Source organism: Homo sapiens, chromosome 16, assembly GCF_000001405.40.
Source record: "Homo sapiens chromosome 16, GRCh38.p14 Primary Assembly".
NCBI classification, from domain to species: Eukaryota; Metazoa; Chordata; class Mammalia; order Primates; family Hominidae; genus Homo; species Homo sapiens.
Window position 1 is genome coordinate 54,419,263 of NC_000016.10, and position 22,778 is coordinate 54,442,040.

The 22,778-nt window shown below is 46.0% G+C and overlaps 2 annotated features.

Moving 5' to 3' along the window:
• Window positions 6,612-7,120: an enhancer, noted in NCBI's record as "NANOG hESC enhancer chr16:54459786-54460294 (GRCh37/hg19 assembly coordinates)". NCBI's record gives its function as "activates a minimal SCP1, AML or CMV promoter by ChIP-STARR-seq in primed H9 embryonic stem cells {active_cell/tissue: H9 hESC(primed)}" and the evidence as "EXISTENCE:reporter gene assay evidence [ECO:0000049][PMID:30033119]".
• Window positions 11,067-11,631: an enhancer, noted in NCBI's record as "NANOG hESC enhancer chr16:54464241-54464805 (GRCh37/hg19 assembly coordinates)". NCBI's record gives its function as "activates a minimal SCP1, AML or CMV promoter by ChIP-STARR-seq in naive H9 embryonic stem cells {active_cell/tissue: H9 hESC(naive)}" and the evidence as "EXISTENCE:reporter gene assay evidence [ECO:0000049][PMID:30033119]".

Consider the following 22,778-nt stretch of genomic DNA (forward strand, 5'->3'; position numbering starts at 1 on the left):
ATAATAAATTTATTGTTTTAAATTCCCCAAACTGGAAACCCCTTAAATATCCATCAACAGGTGGACAGATAAAGAAATTATGGCATACCCACACGATGGAGAACTACCCAATAATAGAAAAGAACAAAATATGAAGGCCCACCATGACATGGATGAATTTCAAAAGTATATGATAACTTTTGGAGGCTGAGGCGGGCGGATCATGAGGTCAAGAGTTCAAGACCAGCCTGACCAACATGGCGAAACCCTATCTCTACTAAAAATACAAAAATTAGCTGGGTGTGGTGTGCATGCCTGTAATCCCAGTTACTCAGGAGGCTGAGGCAGGAGAATCACTTGAACCTGGGAGGCGGAGGTTGCAGTGAGCCAAGATTGTGCCATTAAGCTCCAGACTGAGCAACAGAGCGAGATTCTGTCTCAAAAAAAAAAAAAAAGTATATGTTAACTGAGAGAAATTAGAAAAAAAAGACTGCACACTCTATGATTCCACTTTTATGATCTTCTTAGAATAGGCAAAATGTAGCGACAATAGTTTGCTGGACCCTGGGATGAGGAGAGAGGAGTGAGATAAAAGAGCCAAGAAGCACTTTTTGGGGATGATGTAAAAGGCCTCTCTCAATGGCAGAGATGGTTACATGGGTATATAGGTTTGTCAAAACTCATGGAATTGTGCACTTAACATGGGTACATTTTATTGTATGTAAAGCATACCCCAATTAAGTTAATTGAAATAAGAATTTAAAGGAAATATAGGTAAATGATAAGGTAGGTATTGAATGAAGGGGCAAAACTCATAAAGGCAGTAAAGGAATGGCCAAGGTTTGGGAAGCCCTGGACTGGAGTTCCACCATCCCGACTGAGCAGGGGGTCTGTCTTTATTCTCCTGTTCTCTTAACTGTCATCAAAACATTCCTTAGCAATCTTTGTCAATCTTTTTTTTTTTTTTTTTGAGACGGAGTCTCGCTCTGTCGCCCAGGCTGGAGTGCAGTGGCGGGATCTCGGCTCACTGCAAGCTCCGCCTCCCGGGTTCACGCTATTCTCCTGCCTCAGCCTCCCAAGTAGCTGGGACTACAGGCGCCCGCCACTACGCCCGGCTAATTTTTTGTATTTTTAGTAGAGACGGGGTTTCACCGTTTTAGCCGGGATGGTCTCGATCTCCTGACCTCGTGATCCGCCCGCCTCGGCCTCCCAAAGTGCTGGGATTACAGGCGTGAGCCACCGCGCCCGGCCAATCTTTGTCAATCTTAATGCAATTGTGACTTTAACTCTGTCAACCTTTTCTTTGATGGATTCTGTATTTTATGTTTTGCTTAAGACAACAAAAAGCCCTTTCCCACCCTAAGATTATGACAAAGTAGGATCTCATATTATTCTCTGATGATCATATAATTTTTAAAAATATGACTTTGAGAAATTATTTTTTAAATTGTTGTAAAATACATATAATGCGAAATTTGCCATCTTTACCATTTTTAAGATGGTGAAACCCCGTCTCTACTAAAAATACAAAAATTAGCCTGGTGTGGTGGTGGGCACCTGTAATCCCAGCTACTTGGGAGGCTGAGGCAGAGAATTGCTTGAACCCGGTAGACGGAGGTTGCAGTGAGCCATCATCACGCCACTGTACTCCAGCCTGGGCGACAGAGTGAGACTCAGTCTTAAAAAAAAAATGTATAGTTTAATGGCATTAAGGACATTCACATTGTTCTGCAACCATCACCACCGTCCATCTCTGGAACACTTTTTCAAAAAACATCTTTTTGACATTGTGATGATGTTTTGATGCATATATACAATGTGTAACAATTGAATCCAGAACACTTTTCCTCTTATAAAACTGAAACTCTGTATTCATTAAACAATAACTCCCTGTCCCCATTTCCCCCAGGCCCTGGCAGACATCATGCCACTTTCTGTCTTCATGAATTTGACTACTCTAGGTAACTCATGTAAGTGGAATTTATTTAGTATTTGTCCTTTAGTAACTGACTGCTTTCACTAAATACAACAGTCATATAATTTAAAAAACCATTAGATATTGAATCCACCTGGAATTTATTTGTGTGTGTATGTGTGTGTGTGTGTGTGTGTGTGTATAGTGTAGGTAATAATTTAATTTTAGCCCTCCTGACAAATGATTAACCAGTTTCCCCTGTATTGTTTATTAAAGAGACAGTGTTTGTCACAATCCTTTAATATCCACCGGTATCATACTCAGTGTTCCACAGGTAAATGCCTCATGTTTGGGAGCCTCTTTTTTGTTCCCTTGATCTGTTTCATTCATTCCTATGCCAGTTCCACAGTGTTGACCACTTTAGCTAAGATCTCACCTACCTTAAGCAAGGGGCTCTGCTCTGGCTTAGCGCTTGTCAGCATTTTTGTTTGTTTGTTTGTTTGTTTTGAGATGAAGTCTCCCTCTGTTGCCCAGGCTGGAGTACAGTGGTGCGATCTCGGCTCACTGCAACCTGCATCTCCCAGGTTCAGATGATTCTTGTGTCTCAGCCTCCTGAGTAGCTGGAATTACAGGCGCCCTCCACCATGCCCAGCTATTTTTTTTTTTTTTTGGTGTTTTTAGTAAAGACAGTTTTTCGCCATGTCGGCCAGGCTGGTCTCGCACTCCTGACCTCAAGTAATCCGCCCGTCTTGGCCTCCCAAAGTGCTGGGATTACATGCTTGAGCCACTGTGCCTGGCTCTTGTCAGTTTTTCAACTGTTTACAAGGATACAGGATGCTCCCCAGGCTCCCTAAAACTCTCCCATCTCTCCTTTTCTCAAGGGAGTTTAGCATTCAGGGGTCTCAGTCTGAGTGGGTGAAGAAGGCCCGGGCCATGTTTGTCAGATTGCACAGAACCCAAGAGTGCTGGGCACCCCTGCCTGCTGCAGGGCTGGGGTACCAAGAGGCTATTTTGCTGTCCTTGCCTCAGAAAGATGTGTTGGGGGTTAAGGTGCCCTGGGATGGTCTGAATTTCTCTGCCGGCTGTGGAACTTTGCCATAACCCAGTTGACTGAGAGGCAGAATTCAAGATAAGGCAAGTTAATCTTGGTTCCCCTCCAAGGACATTTGGTACTGACATGCAAAACAGGATCCCTTCAAAGTTCATTGCAGCAGGAGACCCTGGAGGCAGTCATAGAGTGTCCCCTGTATTTCTACAAAGGGTATGTGGAGTGCTGCTGGGGCTACCTGTTGCAGGCTGTGACCTGGCATTGACAGAAGACAGAATAGGCCCATCGGGGCAGGGCTGGCCTGCAGCTTTGTGGGCCCACAGAGTCTGCAAGGCTGTGCTAGGCACACCGGATCTGGACATTTCAAACTCCTTTCTCAGGGCCAGAGGTGTGGGCAGAGAGTGGGAAGAGGTGATGTTTCCACGAACCTCTTGCCATTCAACTTCTGATGAGTCAGATCATGTTCATCAGTCAGCTCCCTCTAGGTTTCTGATAGGCAGGAGAGATAGGATGGGCCAAGATGGAGCTGAGATAACATGGGGAGCTTGCTGGAGAATCATGGACATCCCGTTCCCCCACCCTGCAAGCCTCCAGTGTCAGGGAGGCCAGCTGGAGAGTCTGGCTGTCTTTGGTAAAGGCCCTTGGGCACAAGGTATCACATGGGGACATACAGCTCAAGGAGAATCATGCTGGGATTGTGGGTATAGCAGGCAGGGAGACAGACTGACTAAACCAGTTATGTGATGGTTCAGTGTTTCCCAGATTACAGTCAGTTCTATACTACCTGTCCAGGCCTCCCATATCCTCCAGCTTTTGCACTGGCCTTCACATTTTATTTTGTTTTATTTTATTTTTTTGAGACAGAGTCCGGCTCTGCCGCCCAGGCTGGAGTGCGGTGGTGCGATCCCGGCTCACCACACGATCCCGGCTCACCACAACCTCAGCATCCGGGGCTCAAGCAATTCTCCCACCTCAGCCTCCTAAGTAGCTGGGACCGCAGGCATGCACTGCCACACCCAGCTACATTTCTTGTAGAGATGGAGTCTTGCTATGTTGCCCAGGCTGGTCTCGAACTCCTGGGTTCAAGCAATCATGGGATTACAGGCATGAGCCACTGCGCCAGCCTACATTTTATACACACACACACACACACACACACACACACACACACGCACACGAACACACATGCTCATACAATATACATATACATATATATTTGAACTTTTTCAACATAAATTTAGCATTTTTAAAAGCAATAATATCTGTAATAATCACACGTATCACTCAGAGAACACTTATGATATGCCAGGCACTGCTGTAGGTAATCAAATATATTACTCTGGTCAATATCGTCTCCCTTGAGGTGGTTCTATTTTGTGTTATTTCCTCCCATTTAACATATAGGGAAACTGAGGCACAGAGAGGTTACAAGTTACCTGCTCAGTCTCACTGATTCAAACCCATGCTGTGTCTGGTACCGGACCCTGAAACAGACTGCCTCTCAAGGAATGAGTCAGATATGGGTTAGGTTGAATTTTTTTTTTCCTAAGTCATATTAATAAATCACAATAATATATATATATATCAAAGTTTTTTAAAGCTCATCTGTGTACCGTCTGGTTCTTTCTGCACACTGCCCATTTTGGGCACCCACTTAGGCATTGCTGAGCCCAGGAGGTATAATGTATGTGCCCAGTCCAATTCTGGAGCCGTGACCACTTCCTTCCCCCAAATGGTGGGACCAGCAAGGCCACCATCCTCCTGACCCACGTGACTTAGCTCCATTAGCTCTCTATATAATTTATACCTGGCTGCCACCTCCAGCCACTGTGGGGATTTGGTGTGCATGTGTTGGACAGGAGAGTGGGAGGAGAGAAAAGCCATGCAGATTCCTGCAGATCCCAGTGATTCATGCCTCACTGTCATCTAGCACCTTGCCTTACTCACTCCTGAAAGGTGCTCCGTGAAGTCGGCAAGGAGCAAGTTCAAGGTCCAGCTCTGGAGCCGCCCCCCATGGCCAGGAGGGCATGACCTTCAGCACCAGCCTGTTTTGTGGTTTTCATGAGCAGTTGCAGCATTGTTTGTTGGGTCATGATCACCTCGGGTCATCTTATGGGAGAGCTGGGCAGCTCTTTGGGAAACCCTGGGGCACATTCCAATTTCCTTAGCTTCAGCCCATGCTAGAGTGAGATTTGAGAAATTATCTTGTCCTCTTTTGAAAGCAGCAGGTCACGTGGAGAAGGAATGGGCTTTTCCTCCAAGCCCTCACCTGTGGCCTGCCGCCTGTCCATCAGGCTGAGCATCTGGGCCTGAGATTTTAAAGGCCTGGACTCGTGAGCTCTCCTTTAAAGAATGACTTAGTCCTGTCCTCTGCTCTCAGCTGTGGATAATTACAGCCTTCTGTGCAGGTGGCTCTGGGTCAAATCCTGCTGCTTCTAATGAGCTGGTGGCAGGGCAAGTCATTTAGCCTCAATACAGGCTGGTTTCCTCATCTGTAAAATGGGCATGACATTGCCTATTCTGCAGTGTTGCAGGGAGAGTGGGATGAGTTAATTCATGGAGTCCTCAGCCCCTAAAAGCTGCCCAAGAACTGTTGGCTAATGCTACACCAGTGTGGTGCCTGTTGTTGGCTTGCTTGTTTGTTTCCACCCCTACATTCATTGTGTACCTCCTCTGAGCCAGGCTCTGTGTTACATGAAATTCAGTGGCAACTGACAACAATGCAGTTCTAGCCCTCATTGACCAAAATGACTATTTTTCCCTGGTTATATATCACTGATTTTTGCATCTCTTAAAGATGAGTCTTTTCTAAATCTTAGTGGGAAGGTCATGAACTCTTACAAAAGTCAGACAAGTGCACATAGGTACAAGGGACATAAATTTGCAAACAAGTTGTTGTTTTTTGCAAAGCAGTCAGGACCTCCTCTTGGTGCCAGGTTAAGAAACCCTAAAGATGGAATGGAGATAGGAAAGGTGTCTTCAGCAATTTATGCTCATTCTATTTTCCTCTTCCCAGCCTCCATGGGTGCCCAGGGAATGGTGAAATGCTCTCTTTAAAAGCCAAGTTGTTTACACTGACCATATTTACTCTCAACTTCTAATTATTGAGTCAATATCATTTTTCCTTCTCTCCTTCTGCCCCTTGGCTCACAAAGCAAACAGCTTTACGAAACCTACCTGACTGTATTTCTTTATTCTATTTTAAATTTCACCTGCACCAATAATTAAATTACAGAGGCCAGGAGGGTCTAGAAGAGAGCCACTGTCTAGGCTGATGTGTTTGCTTCTTCTGCTAACATTGGAACCTCCCTCTTCTCTTGACATAGCTTTCAGCCCCCCATGTCTTAGGTGAGCTTTCACTATGCCTCTCTCACATTGTAAAAATTTTTTCAAAGTTTTGCTCCCTAGCTATGACCTGAGACATTGCTCCAACCAACGTGGGAGGGTGAGAATTTTCTCCACATCTATAACCACCAGGGAGTTTCTGAACATACTGTGATTACAGGAACCAACCCTCTTATCGGCTCTCCCCATCACTGCCCGGGTGAGGCTTTCAGGCTCTGCCCTGCTACTGGGCACCCTGTACCCAGAAGTGAGCTTCCGAGCACTGAGCTGTACTCAGCAAACTGATTTGTTCAGTCTTATCTCAGATGCCATGGGCAGATGAGAGTGATAATACCTCCTCTGTTTTGCAATGGTGGACATGATTGAGATGGGAGATAAGGCGAGGGAGAGGTGTGGCACAACCTTGAACCAACTCCACGGACAGTAGTGAGGCCATACAAACCCTTTTTCTTGTTGAACAACATGTCCTATCTCCATTAGTCATCTTACCAATCATCCTGTAATTAACCATGCTAATAGCGTTCTCTGCGGTGCTAGCGCTCAGTGCTCTCCTAGGCCCCCTTAGGAACAATGCCCTGCAATTAGCAGCCGATGGGTGACTCAGATCTCCTGGCTGGATGGTGATGGTCCTCAGATACCATCTCAGGGCCTGCCCGATTCTGCAGAATTTCATCTGGGGCTCTTGCCCATCCTGAAGTGAAGGGAACCTTCTGTTCCCCTTCGAGCAATTCCTCCTCCTGCCAAAAAATGTGGGCTCAGCAAACTGGTTTGTATTTGTACATCTCTCTTTCTCTCCACAACAGAGCTTCTCAAAGCCTCAGTCTGTCTCTGGTCAGTTCACCTCTGGGTCCCCAGAGAGCCTGGTGCTGAGCCCAGCCTACTACTGACCTGTGACAAATGTTGAATGAATACATTCTAGAGAACAAACACACCCCAGCACTCCCCCGGGGTGCCAGTTCATTTCACAAGTCTATTTTCTATGCCACCTTCTCCTGTCTCCTTCCTTGGCCTAAGGACAAGTTGCAATCTATAAGCTGAAAGGAAGCTGAGCAGTTTAGTCCTGAGGTGTGAGTACAGCTGTTGCTGTGGGTGGATGAGATAAGGCAATAAAGACTGGTGGCTGTCGTCGCTTCCAGAGAGCTCTGTAGGGCACTGTGCATAGGTGCTCTTAATGAACTAACGTCAGCCATCCACACTGCAGACACATGGGGGCTGCAGTGTTGGTGGAGAGAGAAGTGGGGCAGGGATGAAAGGGGGTGTCATGGGTGAGGAGGTGCCACGAGTTCAGCCCTGTGGTATTTCCAGATACTAGGAGCTAGCTAGGAGGGAGAGGCAGGGAGTAGATATAAAATGACACACATATGTGTTGATGTATATCCATATAGATCTATATAAATTATTTCTTTAATATACATGACCATTTTCTGAGCTGTTATTGGATGTGGTTGGTCCACTGATTGGAGTCGCTGCAGGAAATACATTCCAACTCAGATGGCCCAAAGGTCTTTAAGGAAGGGCCTGCTTTGGGGGATATTAAGGGCATGACCAGGGGATGACAAGAACCCCAGAAACTAGTAGGGTGTTGTGACTACCTCTAGATCTGAAGGGGCACAGGAGGAAGTGGGACACCAGGGCTCTATGAGGGTGGAGACCATGGAGCAGCACTGGCCACCTGGAGCTGGAGCCTTGGAGGGATATGGCCACTGCTTGAAAACACCGCCTGAAGCAAGAAGAGAGCAACAGCTTGTCCCGTCCTCTTCCTGATTTTTTGTCGGGGCATCCCATTGGCCAACTGGGAAGAGCCCATGGAGGTCTGAGTGTGCCATCCACGGGACCAGCTTCATAGGACACAGAGTCGGGCAAAGCCGGGAAGAGAATGGATGTGGGGTACATGGCTAGTGGGGAGAGCAGCACAGTTGGGGGACAATGACATCATCGCCTGGCCCTGGGATGAAAGTTCCCCGTGGCCGTGTGAGTGATGCTGCTGGCTGTCCTCCTGAGTCACCTGTCTAGGAGATGCTAGCAGTACACAGTAGGTGCCACATTGTTTCATTTAACCCATTGTCTATTAACTCTAACGCACTGACTATTACTTAGCTGCTTTGATGCGTCCTCTCATTTAATTCCAGTACAGTGCCTGGCACCTGGAAGATGCTCACTAAGTACTTCTTAAATAATGAGTGGATGAATAAATTAATACATGAGTAAACAAATGGATGGATGTAAGTCACCTTCGGAGGGGATACTATGAAACCTGTTTGACACCACTAGAAACTTGGGTTCTGAGAGGTTAAGAGAGCAGCCCAAGTCCATTTTGTCACTCGATCCATTCCATAAATACAGTTGTCCTTTGGTATCTATGGAGGATTGATTCCAGGACCTCTGCAGATACCAAAATCAGCAGATGCTTAGGTCACTGATATAAAATGACATAGTATTTGCATATAACCTATGCACAGCCTTCTCTATACTTTAAATCACCTTCACATCTCTTATAATACATAATACAATGTAAATCCTATGTAAATAGTTTCTATACTGTACTCTTTAGGGAGTAATGACAAGAAAAAAGTCCACACATGTTCAGTACAGATACAGCTTTTTTGAGTATTTTTGATACCGGTTTGGTTGAATCCACAAATGTGGAACCCATGTACACAGAGAGCTCTGTATCTATTGAGACTATAGACTAACTGTTGAGCACGCACTCTGTACTAGTGGTGTTACATTTGACTGGAGGAGAAAAAAATACACAAACCCGTGTATCCTGTATAATATCTAAGTGCTACAGATGAATAAAGTAGACTAGAGGGGCAGGGAGCCCTGTGCCCGGCTTTTTAGAGTGTTGCCAAGGATGGCCTCTGTCACAAGGGACATTGGAAGTGAGACCTGAGGGAGATGAGGACATGTCATGTGGCTTTCTGAGACAAGAGCCTTCCTGGAGGAGGAGAGTGAGTGAAGAGGCTTCAAGTAGGAACATGTCTGGGGGATTTGGGAAAATGCAAGAAGACCAGTGTGGCTTGGGCAGGTGTAACTGACACTACTGTCTGCCCAGCAGCTGGAGGGATGTCCTGAAATGCCAGTCTGATGCCATCTTTCCTCAGTTGGAACCCTCTAATAACTTATCCTTTTACTTGGAATGCAGGTCAAACTCCTACCTGGCCAGGCCTACTTAGCGAGGCACGAACCGTTCCACCCAGCTCTCTGAAGCCACCCACGGCCACACTTGCAGCCTGCTTTCCCACCATCAAGCCTTTGCCCTGGCCATTCCTCCTGCTTGGAACACTTGTCCTGGCTCCTTGGCTGCCACTCCTTGGAACTCCATCTTCTGACTCCCACTCCTGAGAATGCTGTCCCCAGGCTCTCGCAGTCCAACGTGGAACCATTTTTGGTTGCTTCTTACTTGACATTATTATCTCCTATTACCTGGTGACAGAGGGAGGAAGGAGTGGGAAGGCAGTGACCCAGAAAATTTGCCCCACGATGATGGGAGTATAGGAGAGAGAGAGAGAGATGGAGAGAAGAGAGATGTCACTACCAGGTTATTCCACGTCACTCTGCCCCAGTGTGAGCATCTCGAAGGAAGGAACCTCATCAGTCTCATCAGTTTTGTTCTTCACAGGGAACAGTTCTGAGGGACATCTGCAGTCACCTGAGTGTCTTCTGTGCCTGGAGCAGTGCCGAGCACACAGCAGCTCTTCAGTAAATATTTATTGAATAATGAGTGACTGGGTGAACCAGCAAGCAAGCTTTGTTTGAGACACCAGAATGAGAAGTTTTCTTGTGAGACTTTAGGCTTCCCAGGGAAGATTTAGGCCAAAGGTCTACACTCAAATGTCCACATTTGTTGACCAGAAGAGAAAACTTGTGGGGATGCCAGGTGGAGAGGTTGGGGGAAAGCTTTCCTTTGCACTCTCCCCATATTTTCATCAAAAAGATGTTTTATGCAAGTTCTCCCCAGTGCCAGCAGCTCCTAGAACCCTGGGCAGCCCTTGAGGACCGGCTGTTATCAGCCATGCCACAGAATCTGCTGCCAGCACTCTTGTGGTGTTTTTCCTTTTAGCTAATGAACAGGAAACCACCCACTTATAGAGCCTAAAGCTGCCTATGAGTTTGTGCTTTCTACCTGGGAAGCTTTGAGAATTGCAGATTCTCTCACCTCCAGGGTGAGAGGTCCCAGATCCAAACATCTAAGCTTAGATGGGGATGGGCTTGGCATCCTGTCTTTAGAACAAGGTTCCCAGTGACTTAAATATACTTGGTCTGAGCACCATACTCTGAGGGTCATACACTGGGTCTTGGGCCCCAGGCTTGGTTTTGGGTATGAAGAGGTGGTGTATGTGTGTGGTGTGTGTGCATTAGTGTGTGTATGTGTGCAGTCTATATATCTAGGCAAGTTTTTAATGTCTGATAAAGACATCTGATAAAGTCTCATCAGAACACTGGCATAGAAGTCTGCCATCATCCACCTTATCCTATCACTTTCAATTATAATGCCTTTCCTGTCCTTTAAATTTTCTAATAGTGCTCTGTGGTAGATGGGGCCAGCATGTTTCTTGTCCCCATTCTACAGAGGAGGACATAGTTCTGAAGTTAAATGGCTTCAAGTCTCAGTCTCAGGATCCTCTCACCATGGACTAAGCAGTCCACCAATTTCCCCTACATTCATGGGGGACCATGTCATGACATGCTGGTGGCAGAAGGAGAAAGGACAAGGATGGAGACAACTCAGAAAATCTGTCCCACAATGGAAGTGGAGGAGAGAAAGACAGAGGGAGGTGAAGAGAAGAGAGGTGTCGCACATGGGGCTGTCCATCACCTAGAGTCCAGCCTGTGTATTTCAGAGAAAGCAAAACACCAAGAAACCGCATGTGATGAGAAGAAAGTCCTGGGAGCAAGACGAGCCTTGGTCCACGTCTCAGTGCTGTCCCCCAATTCTCTTGTCTTTGGCAGTACATCTCAGCCTGGGGCCAAGCAAATACCCCTGAGGAGGCTGGGCTCCGGAGAAGCCGGTATTTACCCACAATCTCTGTTTTGGAAGTAATTAATCTTCGAATGTAGGAGCCCCTTTGTGGTGGAAAGCGCACGCTGACACTTTTGTGTAAACACCCAGCTTAGCATATTGACAAACTGGTGGCTGTTACTTTGATCCCGGGCTGCCGGCTCTGAAAAGGCAAGCCAGCTCCGGGCTGCCCCACCGGGCACAAAGGCAGCTCTAATCCCCTCTACACTCCTCTGCGACCCATATTTAGAATTCGGAGTCTTTATTTTCTATATCCACTTAAGCTCTGCTTGGAGTTTGTTTAGTAACCTTCTTCCTTCTTCATGCTCGCTGGTGACTCAGAAGTTCGTTTTCTTAGCAAGGCATGCAGCAAAATGCCAAAGTAGCAGATGACCCGAATGAAAACCCTTAAACTCACATAGATTTAATCACTGCAGCAAATTGGAACCATTTGTGGTCAGGTTTTGATGGCGATCTATAAAGATTTCTCCCATTCTCCCCTCTGCTTTCTTTTTAAGTGGCTTAGTTAAGGTTAGTGAGAAAAGGAGGCATTGATGCCAAGGTCCGTGGGGTGGGGAAAAGGGACACTTACATTGTTTGTCATCAGCTCTCAGGACATCTGTAGCCACCTGAGTGTCTTCCAACAGCATGGGGCAAATTTTTAGGGTAGCCAGCAACTCTCTCACGCATCACAGTAGCCAGTACTGTGCAATCCAGAAAACAGGGAGGTTTCATTGCTGGGAGTTTCTGCCGAAGGCTTGGGGCCCTCTTAAGAAAATATTGTGTTTTGTGACTTTTGTCGCCTCCAGTTACCCTAATAAGGCAAGGGAAAGGTCGGTGTATTTTTTTTTCAGGAACAAAGAAGAAATCGAACCCGATCTGTTATGATTTCTCCTTAAGCAAACCAAACAGAGAGAGCTTTAATGAAGACGCCGATCCGGGACTGAGGCTGACCCAGGCAGCGCCATGAGAGTGTCAGATCTGTTTCTGATAAAATCGACATTGAGGTTTTGAAGAATGAATCAGAAAGGAAGTTCAATTCTATTTCACGACTGGGCTGAACTAAATAGAAGGGGAGACTCATCTGTAATTAAAGGGAAGCTTTTCTTAAAATTTTTTTCTCTGCAACATTTTTAGAAATTTCTAGAATTTGGATTGCTCTCAACAATCAGTTTTCAGGGTTCTGTTTGATTTCTTGAGAGCAGATGGGAAAGCAAATTTGCAAAGACTTCAGCAACAAATTTCACTGAACAAATGATGGAAAAAGTTACCCAATAAGGTCCTTTCCCCAACCTCCTTTTTTTTTCTCCCCATCTCTAGTTTCTACTATTACAGTTGGAGAGAAAATTCAGGCTGAAAGAAATTTGATATTTATTTTCTGTGAACTTTAATAAAGAAAGTGGTGGGTGCAGGACTTTTTTTTTAAGGCCCTTTGGACAAGTCAATTTTTAATTTTTTTAAATAGCACCTTTTGGCATAAAGCTGCCGGTGTGTGATTTATGGAACTGTGAAGGGGTTGTGCTGAGAGCTGTTCCCGGCAGGTTGGTGAGAGACTTTGAAGAGGCTTTTGACTCTGGGAACCCACTCTTCATGGGACCCGTGTTCACCCAGGCAGGCCTTTTAAAATGTTTAGTGCTCGAGCCTTCGCTTGAAGTCCATGTTTGTTTGGGTTTGTGGAATCCCTTTCCTTTCTTCAACATTCTCAGATGTCCTCGGTTTAGGCCCAGTGATCAGCCATAATCCACTCCAGCCCTGCCTAGGAATAGTCCACTTTGTTCATAAGCACATAACATAACTTCAGCCCCCAGGGACTCTGTCGTGAAATGGAATCCCAGACTCTCCAAGATGTCTTGGGAGATAAGCGCAGCCTTAATCCCAGGGTCACCCCGGCCCTGAGTGAGCAGGAGTTCACCTATACATCACGACATCGTTATCAGCCGGGGACCCAAGCAGCCACAACCTGCCACATTTTCCACAGGGTTTGGCGGTGTTAAGAAAATACCCTCTAGCCTGGTGTTATTTTAGGCTGAAACAAAAGTCGACATGAATGGCTGGGCGGAACAGAGGGGGCATTGTTCTCCCTGTGGCCGGGTGCTCAGAACTGGCCTGAAACTGGAATCCAACAAACGGAGAAGTAAATGCCATCACGTACAAATGAGCTCTCGAGTGTCCAAGGGATCAATTGAGCACAGAGGGCGGCCGGGCCAAGGATTTTGCCAGGCCCCGGGTCATGGGAAGTTTGGTTTCCAGAGGACAGACGGAAAGTGCCACCTGATTTGCAGTGGTATTACAACTGACTTCTAGGGGGAGCCACCTGCTTGTGAGAAACAGGAGAACCAAATATCAGGGGCTGGCTTTGGGGGGCACTGGCTGGGGCATGCCAGGCACTCTTGTAAGCCCCTCAAACAGATTGTCCCATTCAATCTTCCCAGACACCCTACGAGGCGGGTACTATCGTATGTCCCTTTTACAGATGAGAAAACTGAGGCAGAAGGTGGTAGACTTTCCCAAGGCCACATGACTGCAGTTGGAGGACCCACGATTTAAAGCCGGGCAATCTGGTTCTATAACCCACACCCCTTTGATCTGTGCCTGATCACCTTATTCTCCTTTTCCTTCTCCCTGTGTTTCTTATTCTTGGCACCTGGGTGATATGGCGGGTGCTGTCAGTACCCTGCACAGAAGACCTCAGCCCTTACTGTGTCAGTGTGAACTGGTGGCCCAACTTTCATCTGCCAGTATCTGCATGCTTTTGCTTGAAGGCTTTTTTTTTTTTTTTTTTTTTGCCATGGGAGTCTGCTCTGCCCATTTTTGCAACAGACCAGAAGTGCCAGGAAATGAACACCCTAGAAGTGCCGGGAAATTCACAATCAATGACAGTTGGTGTTTCAATACCACCATTTCCTTGTCTATCTGGTGGGAAAAATCTGAGGTGGGTGTTCCACGATGGTCCCCAGAGTTCTCTCCTGTGGTTGAGCCCACAGTGGTGACGTCCTTGAAAATGCATGTTTTAGTGGCCCCCTTTTCTTCCTGGCCTCACATCCTTACCCACCAGCAGTCATCCTGGTATTCCCGGATTCCCTTCTTAATGTCACCTTCTTTTTCTTTTTTCTTTTTTGACAGAGTCTGGCTCTGTTGCCCAGGCTGGAGTGGAGTGCTGTGGTGCGATCTCGGCTCACTGCAACCTCCGCTTCCGGGGTTCAAGCGATTCTCCTGTCTCAGCCTCCCAAGTAACTGTGCCGCCATACCTGGCCATTTTTTTGTATTTTTAGTAGAGACGGCGTTTCACCATGTTGGTCAGGCTGCTCTCAAACTCCTGACCTCAAATGATCCTCCCACCTCGGCCTCCCAAAGTGCTAGGATTACAGGTGTGAGCCACTATGCCCGGCTACCTTCATTTAAATCCTCATCTCTAAAACAGCTTCTGGAGGAACACAAGACAAGCCTGAGGATCGTACCTCTGTGTGATTATTTGATTAATATCTGTCACCATTATAAACCTACGAGTTTAACATTGTATTCCTGGGGACCAGCTGAATGCCTGGCTCATAGTAGGTGCCAAGTAAATACCTATTAAATGAAAGGATTTTGAAGTACAAAGTCTCTTTCTATCAAACAGAAGTTTATATTTTGATAGTTCTCTTATGACATTATCTTACATTTAAAGAATATTTATGTATTTATTTATTTAGAGACAGGGTCTCTCTCTGCTGCCCAGGCTGGAGTGCAGTGGTAAAATTACAGCTCGCTGCAGCTTCAACCTTCTGGGCTCAAGTGATCCTCCTGCCTCAGCCTTCCGAGTAGCTTGGACTACAGTAGGATGCCACCATGCCCAACTAATTTTTTAAATGAATAAAAATTATCCTTTTAGAGATGTGATCTTGCTATGTTACCCAGGCTCATCTCAAATTCCTGGCCTCAGGTAATCCTTCTGCCTCAGTCTCCTGAGTTACTGGGATTGCAGGCATGAACCACTGCATTTGGCTAAAGTAGTTTTATTTGAAGTAGTTTCATTCTTTATGGAGGAGCTACTTTGTGGGAGATTGGAGACCCCTTCCTATTCCTCTTCTGTCTCGCCTAGAGTTAGGGTGAACCAGCTTCTCCATTAGGGTCAGATTAAGACCTTTGGAGGTTGTTTCAGAGACTGGCCAGCTTTTACCAAATCTTTGTCCTCTTCCTAGACCATATTTCCCAGTTTCCTTTGTAATTAGCTGTGCCACGTGACTGAGTTTTAGCCATTGTAATTTGAGCAGATATATACCACTTCCAGCCCAGCCCACAAACATCCCCCACTGGCAGTCTTCTGTGCTTCCCCCTTCTCCACAGAAGGGGCTAAGGCCAATGAATGGCCCACATTAAATACAGCAGAGAACACCATACAAAAACTCTAGGTCCTGGAGTCACTGCTTGGAAGAGAGCTGCACATTAACCAGTAACAGTCATTTTGGACTTTACTAGTAGGAAATTTTCTATTGTATTTGAACGCTCACACATTTTGGGACTTGTTTGTTACAGCAGCTGATATGATCCTAATACTGAAGCTCTAAGTACTAACAAGAGTTAATGTTCTTTGCTTCTTCCCTGCTGTGTATAAAATAAGTATTAAATGTGTCCCACACAATTCCAATTTCCCTATGATAGCTACTCTCATTAAAAAACAAATCAATTAGCAAAGTCTTAATTATTTTCAGTACCAGTAGTGTCTTGCTTTACTGGCACCATAAGTAAATACTTATTTGGCCTCCTAGATAATCCCACAAGCTATTTTTCTGGAAGAGACTTGTCTAATAGGCTGGTCCACAGACACCTGCTCCATCCAATAACCTTGGGTTGAGCAAATGGAATTCAAGGGCACTGCTGTTTTCTACAGAGGTTCAAGGGCATTGCTGTTTTCTATAGGGGTTCAAGGGCATTGCTGTCTTCTACAGAGGTTTAGGCAGCTGTCCCCACCCTCCTATGGGCTCCAGGACCAAAGAAGGTGGGTCTGAGGATTAAGGGCAGAGACGCGCTGATCCCTCAGACTTGTCTTTCGGTTTCCAGGCTTTGGAAATGTTCTCCTAAGCTTCCATAGAACCCAGAGGGAAACACAGCCATGCATCCACCAGAAGGCTCTGTGGGCACTCTCCTCACCAGTTGCTACCTTTCTTGAGAGGAGCTGGGTGTGTTGGGAAGCTGGTGATTCTGGAACCAGGTGGAGATTAGTGTTTGACTCTTTGATCTGTCTTCTCCTTGTCATTATCCCCATTTTACAGATGATAGTTGGGGACAGATTTCTGGACCTACACCTTGACCCCAAATCAAGCCATACTTACATGGTGAGATGTGGCCCATTCTGAGGCAATGGTCTGGGCAGAGAGTGCTATAAGGTGCTTAACAAGCGTGGGCCTTCCCAGGCTTGCAGAATGGCTCTGCCTCCATGGGCAAGTTACTCAGCCTCTCTGTGCCAGTGTCTTCGTGTGTGAAATGGGATTATGAATAGTATCTATGTCAGGGGCCATTGTGAGGCTGAAATGAAGTGATGCCTGTGCATTTATGACAGTTCCTGCACATAGTATGCTCCTATACTTCTTATTGGAAGTCTATGGGGATTAGCAGACCCCATCCTTGTGGTCAACAGCCTTATAGCTTCTCCACAGAAGGAGCAGGTAACAGTGGTCTGAAGATATGTTTTCGGCCTGGCCTGTGAAGAGAATGGTCACTGGAGTGTTACATCTGGAGCCTTTGCAGTCTCAGGAGACCACAGAGCAGCACTTCCTTGACCTACTGGGTAGACACTTGATGCTCTGTCTGAGGGCTGAGCCTCCATCACAGGAAGGCGTGGGTCTTTCATTGGACCCTCCTTCCAAAGGCACAGTGACTGCTGAACAAGAGAGAGGAGCCCTTTGCTGGTTGTTGGGCTTAAAGAGGCTGTTTCTAGGAGGAGGACTGGGGAAGAACCCAGGAGATTCTGGTCTGAGTTGATCACCCATGCCAGAGGAAACGTAGCATTCCTCACGGTCAAGGACTTGGCCTTTAGCCACACATACCTGACTATGCCTTCCACACATCCACATAAGCAAGTCTTTAACTGTCTCTTCTCCAGCTTCTTAGCTGTAAAACGGGACTGTTGATAGTACTTCCCTGATAGGACGGACGGCTGTGAGGACTGTGTGGGATGATGACGTCCATATAGACACTTTGCATCATGGAAGCAGTCAATGTATCCCTGAATACATTTTTTCCCCAAGTGTAAAATTGGCATAAGACTTAAAGGATTCTAGCAGTATAAAAGGTTATGCAGCGAAGAGTAACTCTTTCCTACTCTTGACCCCTTAGTCACAGAGGGTGTCTACAGAGAAGACACTTGTTGTCAATGTCTTGTGTAAAATGCCAAAGATGGTTTCCATATACCAACATGGAAATGAGATATATATATATATAGCCATTTTTGATCTACAAAAATGGGAGTTTCATATGGTTCAATCCAAGTGGTGTGTGTGTATAAACAACGGTAGCCTGCTGTATACACTGTTCACATCTTGTTTATTTTTTAACGTAATAATATCTTTTAGAGAACATTCCATGCCACTTCTTACAGACATTTCTCATTCTTTTCAACAGTCGTGAAGTCTTCCAGCATGAAGGCATACCTTCCTTTATTTAACTCTTGGTGAATAGTACCTGGGTTTTTTTGTGTGTGACATTTTTGGAGGAGGAAAGGAAAGTCGTGCATTCAGGCATTCACCATCCCCTAGACCCCAGGCCAGCCCCCAGCCTCCAGCACCTGTTATTTCTTCTCCGTTCAGTAATTCCCTGGAGTGCACATTTTTCTCATCGCAACTGCACTAGACCCAAGTTTTGGGTTCCTGCTCTGTGCCTAAGCATGCCTTAGATCTCTTCATAACTCAGCTTGTAAGTTGAGGCCTCTTAATTTGGCCCACAGGACTCTTTAACGCCCTTTAAACCCCGTTAAACCCATGTAATGAGTTTCCCCTTGCTGTGCTCCTGGCCGTGAAAGCTGAGAGCCGGGACTCAGGCCTCCCACCTGTTCCAGAGATTAGGCTGCGCTGCAGAGGCTGTGGGGCCGGAGGGAAGGGACAGGGGTCGGCCATGAAGCGGGACTCCTGGTTGCAGTGGGTGTGTGTGTGCCCCGAGGCCATGGGCAGGCATTCACCGGAGGTGTCAGAGCATTAACCTGTGGTGGCTGGGGACAGTTTCAGCACCCAGTGTTCCCATGGTGTGGGGGCCACTTTGCGTGGACCAAGGGAGTGGGGCCAGAGCTGTCAGGGGTCTGCTGGGATGAGAGGCAGATGCTCGAGGTGGCTTCCTCTCTCTAGAGAATCTGGAGGCACAGAGACGGGTGTGCAATGAGTCTTCCTAAAATGCTGTCCTCAGCATGTCAGCACTGTTCTAGAATCTTCTTTCTATGGCTATGAGGGATGTCTGCTGGTTTACACGCATGGGGTCCTGCCTACTCCTTTCACTCTCACACACACAGTCTGCGTGAGTAGGGAGGGCTGACTCTATAGTTCCCACGTCCAGCTCTGTGCATGTGACCCAGGAGTAGCCAATCAGAGTATTCAAGACTGCTGCCCATCATGATTGGTTCAGGGGTAGTCCCTGCCCAGCCTGTGATTGGTTAAGGGGTGGGCCCATGACCCAGGTCTGGCAAATCAGAATATTTAATCCATTGGCCACAGTCACTGTTTTAGAGATAGATGCATAGTTCAATGGTGGTTCGAAGAGATTCAATCCCAGAATGCTCTGTGGGAATAATTAGGAAAGAGATACACTCTTTCCATGGAGGTAACTGGAGGTGAGAATGCCAGCTTAAAGGTTGGAGGCCAGCTTGTCAGCATGAGAGAAAGCCTGCTTGACATGGCTTAGACAGAGGAGAACAGGGGCTAGAGAGAGAAAGGGCAAGATTGAGGCTGCTGGTATCCTTGAGCATCTGGATCCACCCATACCTGAAGATGTATATTTACATGAACACATACACCTCTCTTTTTCACTTAAATCAGCTTGAACTGAGTTTGTGGATTTCTTTTAACTCAGAGTTCTAACTAAAACACCTCACCCACTACAGATACCACACTCTGCAATACGACTTTCAGAGTGACCTCAGCCTACCTCTCCTTCCTTTCCTCTCTGGGCAACCTTCCTTCACACAGCCCTAGAATTTGCCTTTGACACAACTTACTTTCAGTTCATTGCTCAGTCCTTTCTCGCTGCATTGTAAGTCATTTCCCACTCCTTCTCAACAAGTCGTTGCCAGCTAACATTTGGCTCCTAAAGCTCTCAGTCTGGGGAGAGCACAATTTTCTTCTTAACACACAAGAGTTTGTCATCCAGTTGCGGGTAGTTTTGCACAAAATGCATGCTCAATAAAGAACAAATGAAGTAATTGAATGAATGAGGAAGTGGGTCAAAGAGAGAGGAGGTGGGCTCATATTAATAATGTTTATATCCATCCAAGACAGACTTAGTTTCCAAATGAGAGGGACAGACAATCCAGGCTTCTGGGAGGGATCAGGAATACGAACGACAGGCACTAGGAAAGATTTGGAGGAAGCTGCCAGTCGAATGTCAAGCTAAAGCTTTTAGATGCTTCTTATAGGCAATGGACATCTGCTGAAGGTTTAGGAATGCGCGTGTAACATGCAAAGCTGTGTTTCAGAGATGCTAAGCAGACAATGGTAAGAGGGCTGAATTGGGCAGGAAAAGACCAGTGACAGTTGAACTAATGATGGGGGGATTTGAAATACATCCCCTGAAGTTTGATGGAAGCTTGGCGTATGGGGTGATAGAGATAGATCATGGGTGGCTTCCTAGGTTCCACTCTTGAAAAGTCTTCTTTAGTAGGTCTGAAGTTGGACATGATAATCCCCATTTCTAAAAGAGCTCACAGAGGATTCCAGTGCACACTTGTGTCCTAGGGTTTGGGTTCATGGGTACCACAAGGGTGATGGGAGAAAGAGAGACATAGAAGAGAGTCACTGGTTTGGAGGGAAAATAGCAAGCCTCCTATTTTAAAAAAAAATTTAAAGAAATGGCAGCATTTTGGGAATTGGTAGGATGTTCATGTGTAGGTCCCCAGCACATCCATGAAGAAAGACAAATAGCTAGAAGTCAGCAATTCTGGAAACCAGATCAGGAGGCTGTTCTTGTAGAGCTGATGGACTCATCAGAAATAGTTGCCAATAGTTTAAAATAGGAAAATATCATAAAACATTGGATTTCTGAATTTAATGGAAAAGTTAGCAGATCTGCCCTGTTGGAGCCACCTTCCCACGTGGTGTCCCTAGGTCAAAGCTGAAATGTGGCTGCCCTTCTTAGCAAGAGCCTGTGCTCTTAGCTTGTCACAGTTTCCATCATTCCCTAATACCTCACATCCAACCCATGCGGTTCATTGACATTACCTGCCTGGCATCTGTTGGCATTTATAATAGTGACCCTCAGTGTCCTCACATGTGGGGATAAGCATGTGAGTGAGAAGGCAGCAAGGGACCTAAAATGTGACCCTAAGAGGTTGAGTAAAATAGAGTCTTGGATGCCCTGGAAAAATAAAGGCAGAAGTTAACAGTGTCAAGGGAACAGCTCTGATCATGAGTAAATGATTACTTCACTGGTCCCAATTTCTTCTTCTTCTTCTTCTTCTTCTTCTTCTTCTTCTTCTTCTTCTTCTTCTTCTTCTTCTTCTTCTTCTTCTTCTTCTTCTTCTTCTTCTTCTTCCTCTTCCTCCTCTTCCTCCTCTTCCTCCTCTTCCTCTTCTTCCTCTTCTTCCTCTTCTTCTTCTTCTTCTTCTTCTTCTTCTTCTTCTTTCTTCTTCTTTTCTTCTTCTCCTTCTCCTTCTCCTCCTCCTTCTCCTCCTCCTCCTCCTCCTCCTTCTTCTTCTTCTTTTTTCTTCTTCTCCTCCTCCCTCCTCCTCCGCCCTCCTCCTCCTTCCTCCTCCTCCTCCATCCTACTCTTCCTCCCTCCTCCTTCTCCTCCTCCTCCTCCTTCTTCTTCTTTTTTCTTTTTCTTTTTTTTTTTGAGACAGGGTCTCACTCTGTCACCCAAGCTGGAGTGCAGTGGTGTGATCTCGGCTCACTGCAACCTCTGCCTCCCGGGTTCAAGTGATTCTCAGATTCTTGTGCCTCCCGAGTAGCTGGGATTACAGGTGTGCACCACTGAACCCAGCTAATATTTGTATTTTTAGTAGAGACAGAGTTTTGCCATGTTGGCAAGGCTGGTTTTGAACTCCCAACCTCAGGTGATCGGCCTGCCTAGGCCTCCCAAAGTGCTGAGATTACAGGCATTCGCCACCGTGCCCAGCCTCAATTTCTTATTTATAAAAAAAGGCTTAATAATATGTGTTAAAAGAGCTGATAGGTGCTTCAGATGTCTTAATGCTTGTGAGACTCACTTATAGCTTAGAAAGGGCTACAGAGCAGTAAGCTATTGCTGTGAGAGGTGGGGGGGTACCCCAAGGAAGGATGGGTTTGCATCCCACTTCTGCAACTGACTAGCTGTGTGACATTGAACTAGATAGTTGATCTCCCTCAGACTAAACGTCCTCCACTGTAAACTGGGACAATGATAGCCACACATCAGGGCTGTTGGTAAGATAAAATAAGACACAGCAGAATTTCATCTCTGGATGGGTGTTAGGTTCTGAGAGCCAGCACAAAAGCCAAAAATTGTGTATATTTAAAATTATCGTTGCAAATTCTTATTCTTATTCTTATTCTTATTTTTTTTTTTGAGACGGAGTCTCGCTCTGTCCCCCAGGCTGGGTGCAGTGGCGTGATCTCGGCTTACTGCAAGCTCCACCTCCTGGGTTCACGCCATTCTCCTGCCTCAGCCTCCTGAGTAGCTGGGACTACAGGTGCCTGCCACCACGCCCGGCTAATTTTTTTGTGTTTTTAGTAAAGACGGGGTTTCTCCATGTTAGCCAGGATGGTCTCGATCTCCTTACCTTCGGATCCACCTGCCTTGGCCTCCCAAAGTGCTGGGATTACAGGCATGAGCCACTGTGCCTGGCCGCAAATTATTAAAAATAGTCTTGAGCAGTCAATTTTGAGGATAGACATAAAATATGTACAATGATGGACACTGTATAAATAGTGTAGATACCAAATACACTTATACAGAATGCCAAGTATTTTAAAGTAAAATTATTCGGCTAAGCTCACATTGAAGATTCATGTATACTTACTAATGGCTTCCCTATATAGGTGAGCAACACTTGAAAACTTCCCGCAGGACTTGGGCTCATGACTGAATACTCTGTATGTTCTCACTAGGTGACGGTTTTAGGAGGTTATTAGGAGCCTTCGTAGTTGCAAACAAAATCTTTGAAAGCAACTGTTAGGGTTGCATAATGCTTTGTAATAGCTTTGATAGTCAAGAATAGTTGACTTAATTAATGATGTTTTATTTTAGAGAATATCATTTTAAATGCATGAAGTACAGTTAAATGAAGTGCTTACCATATACCAGATACTTTTCTAAGTGCTTTCATTGTGTTA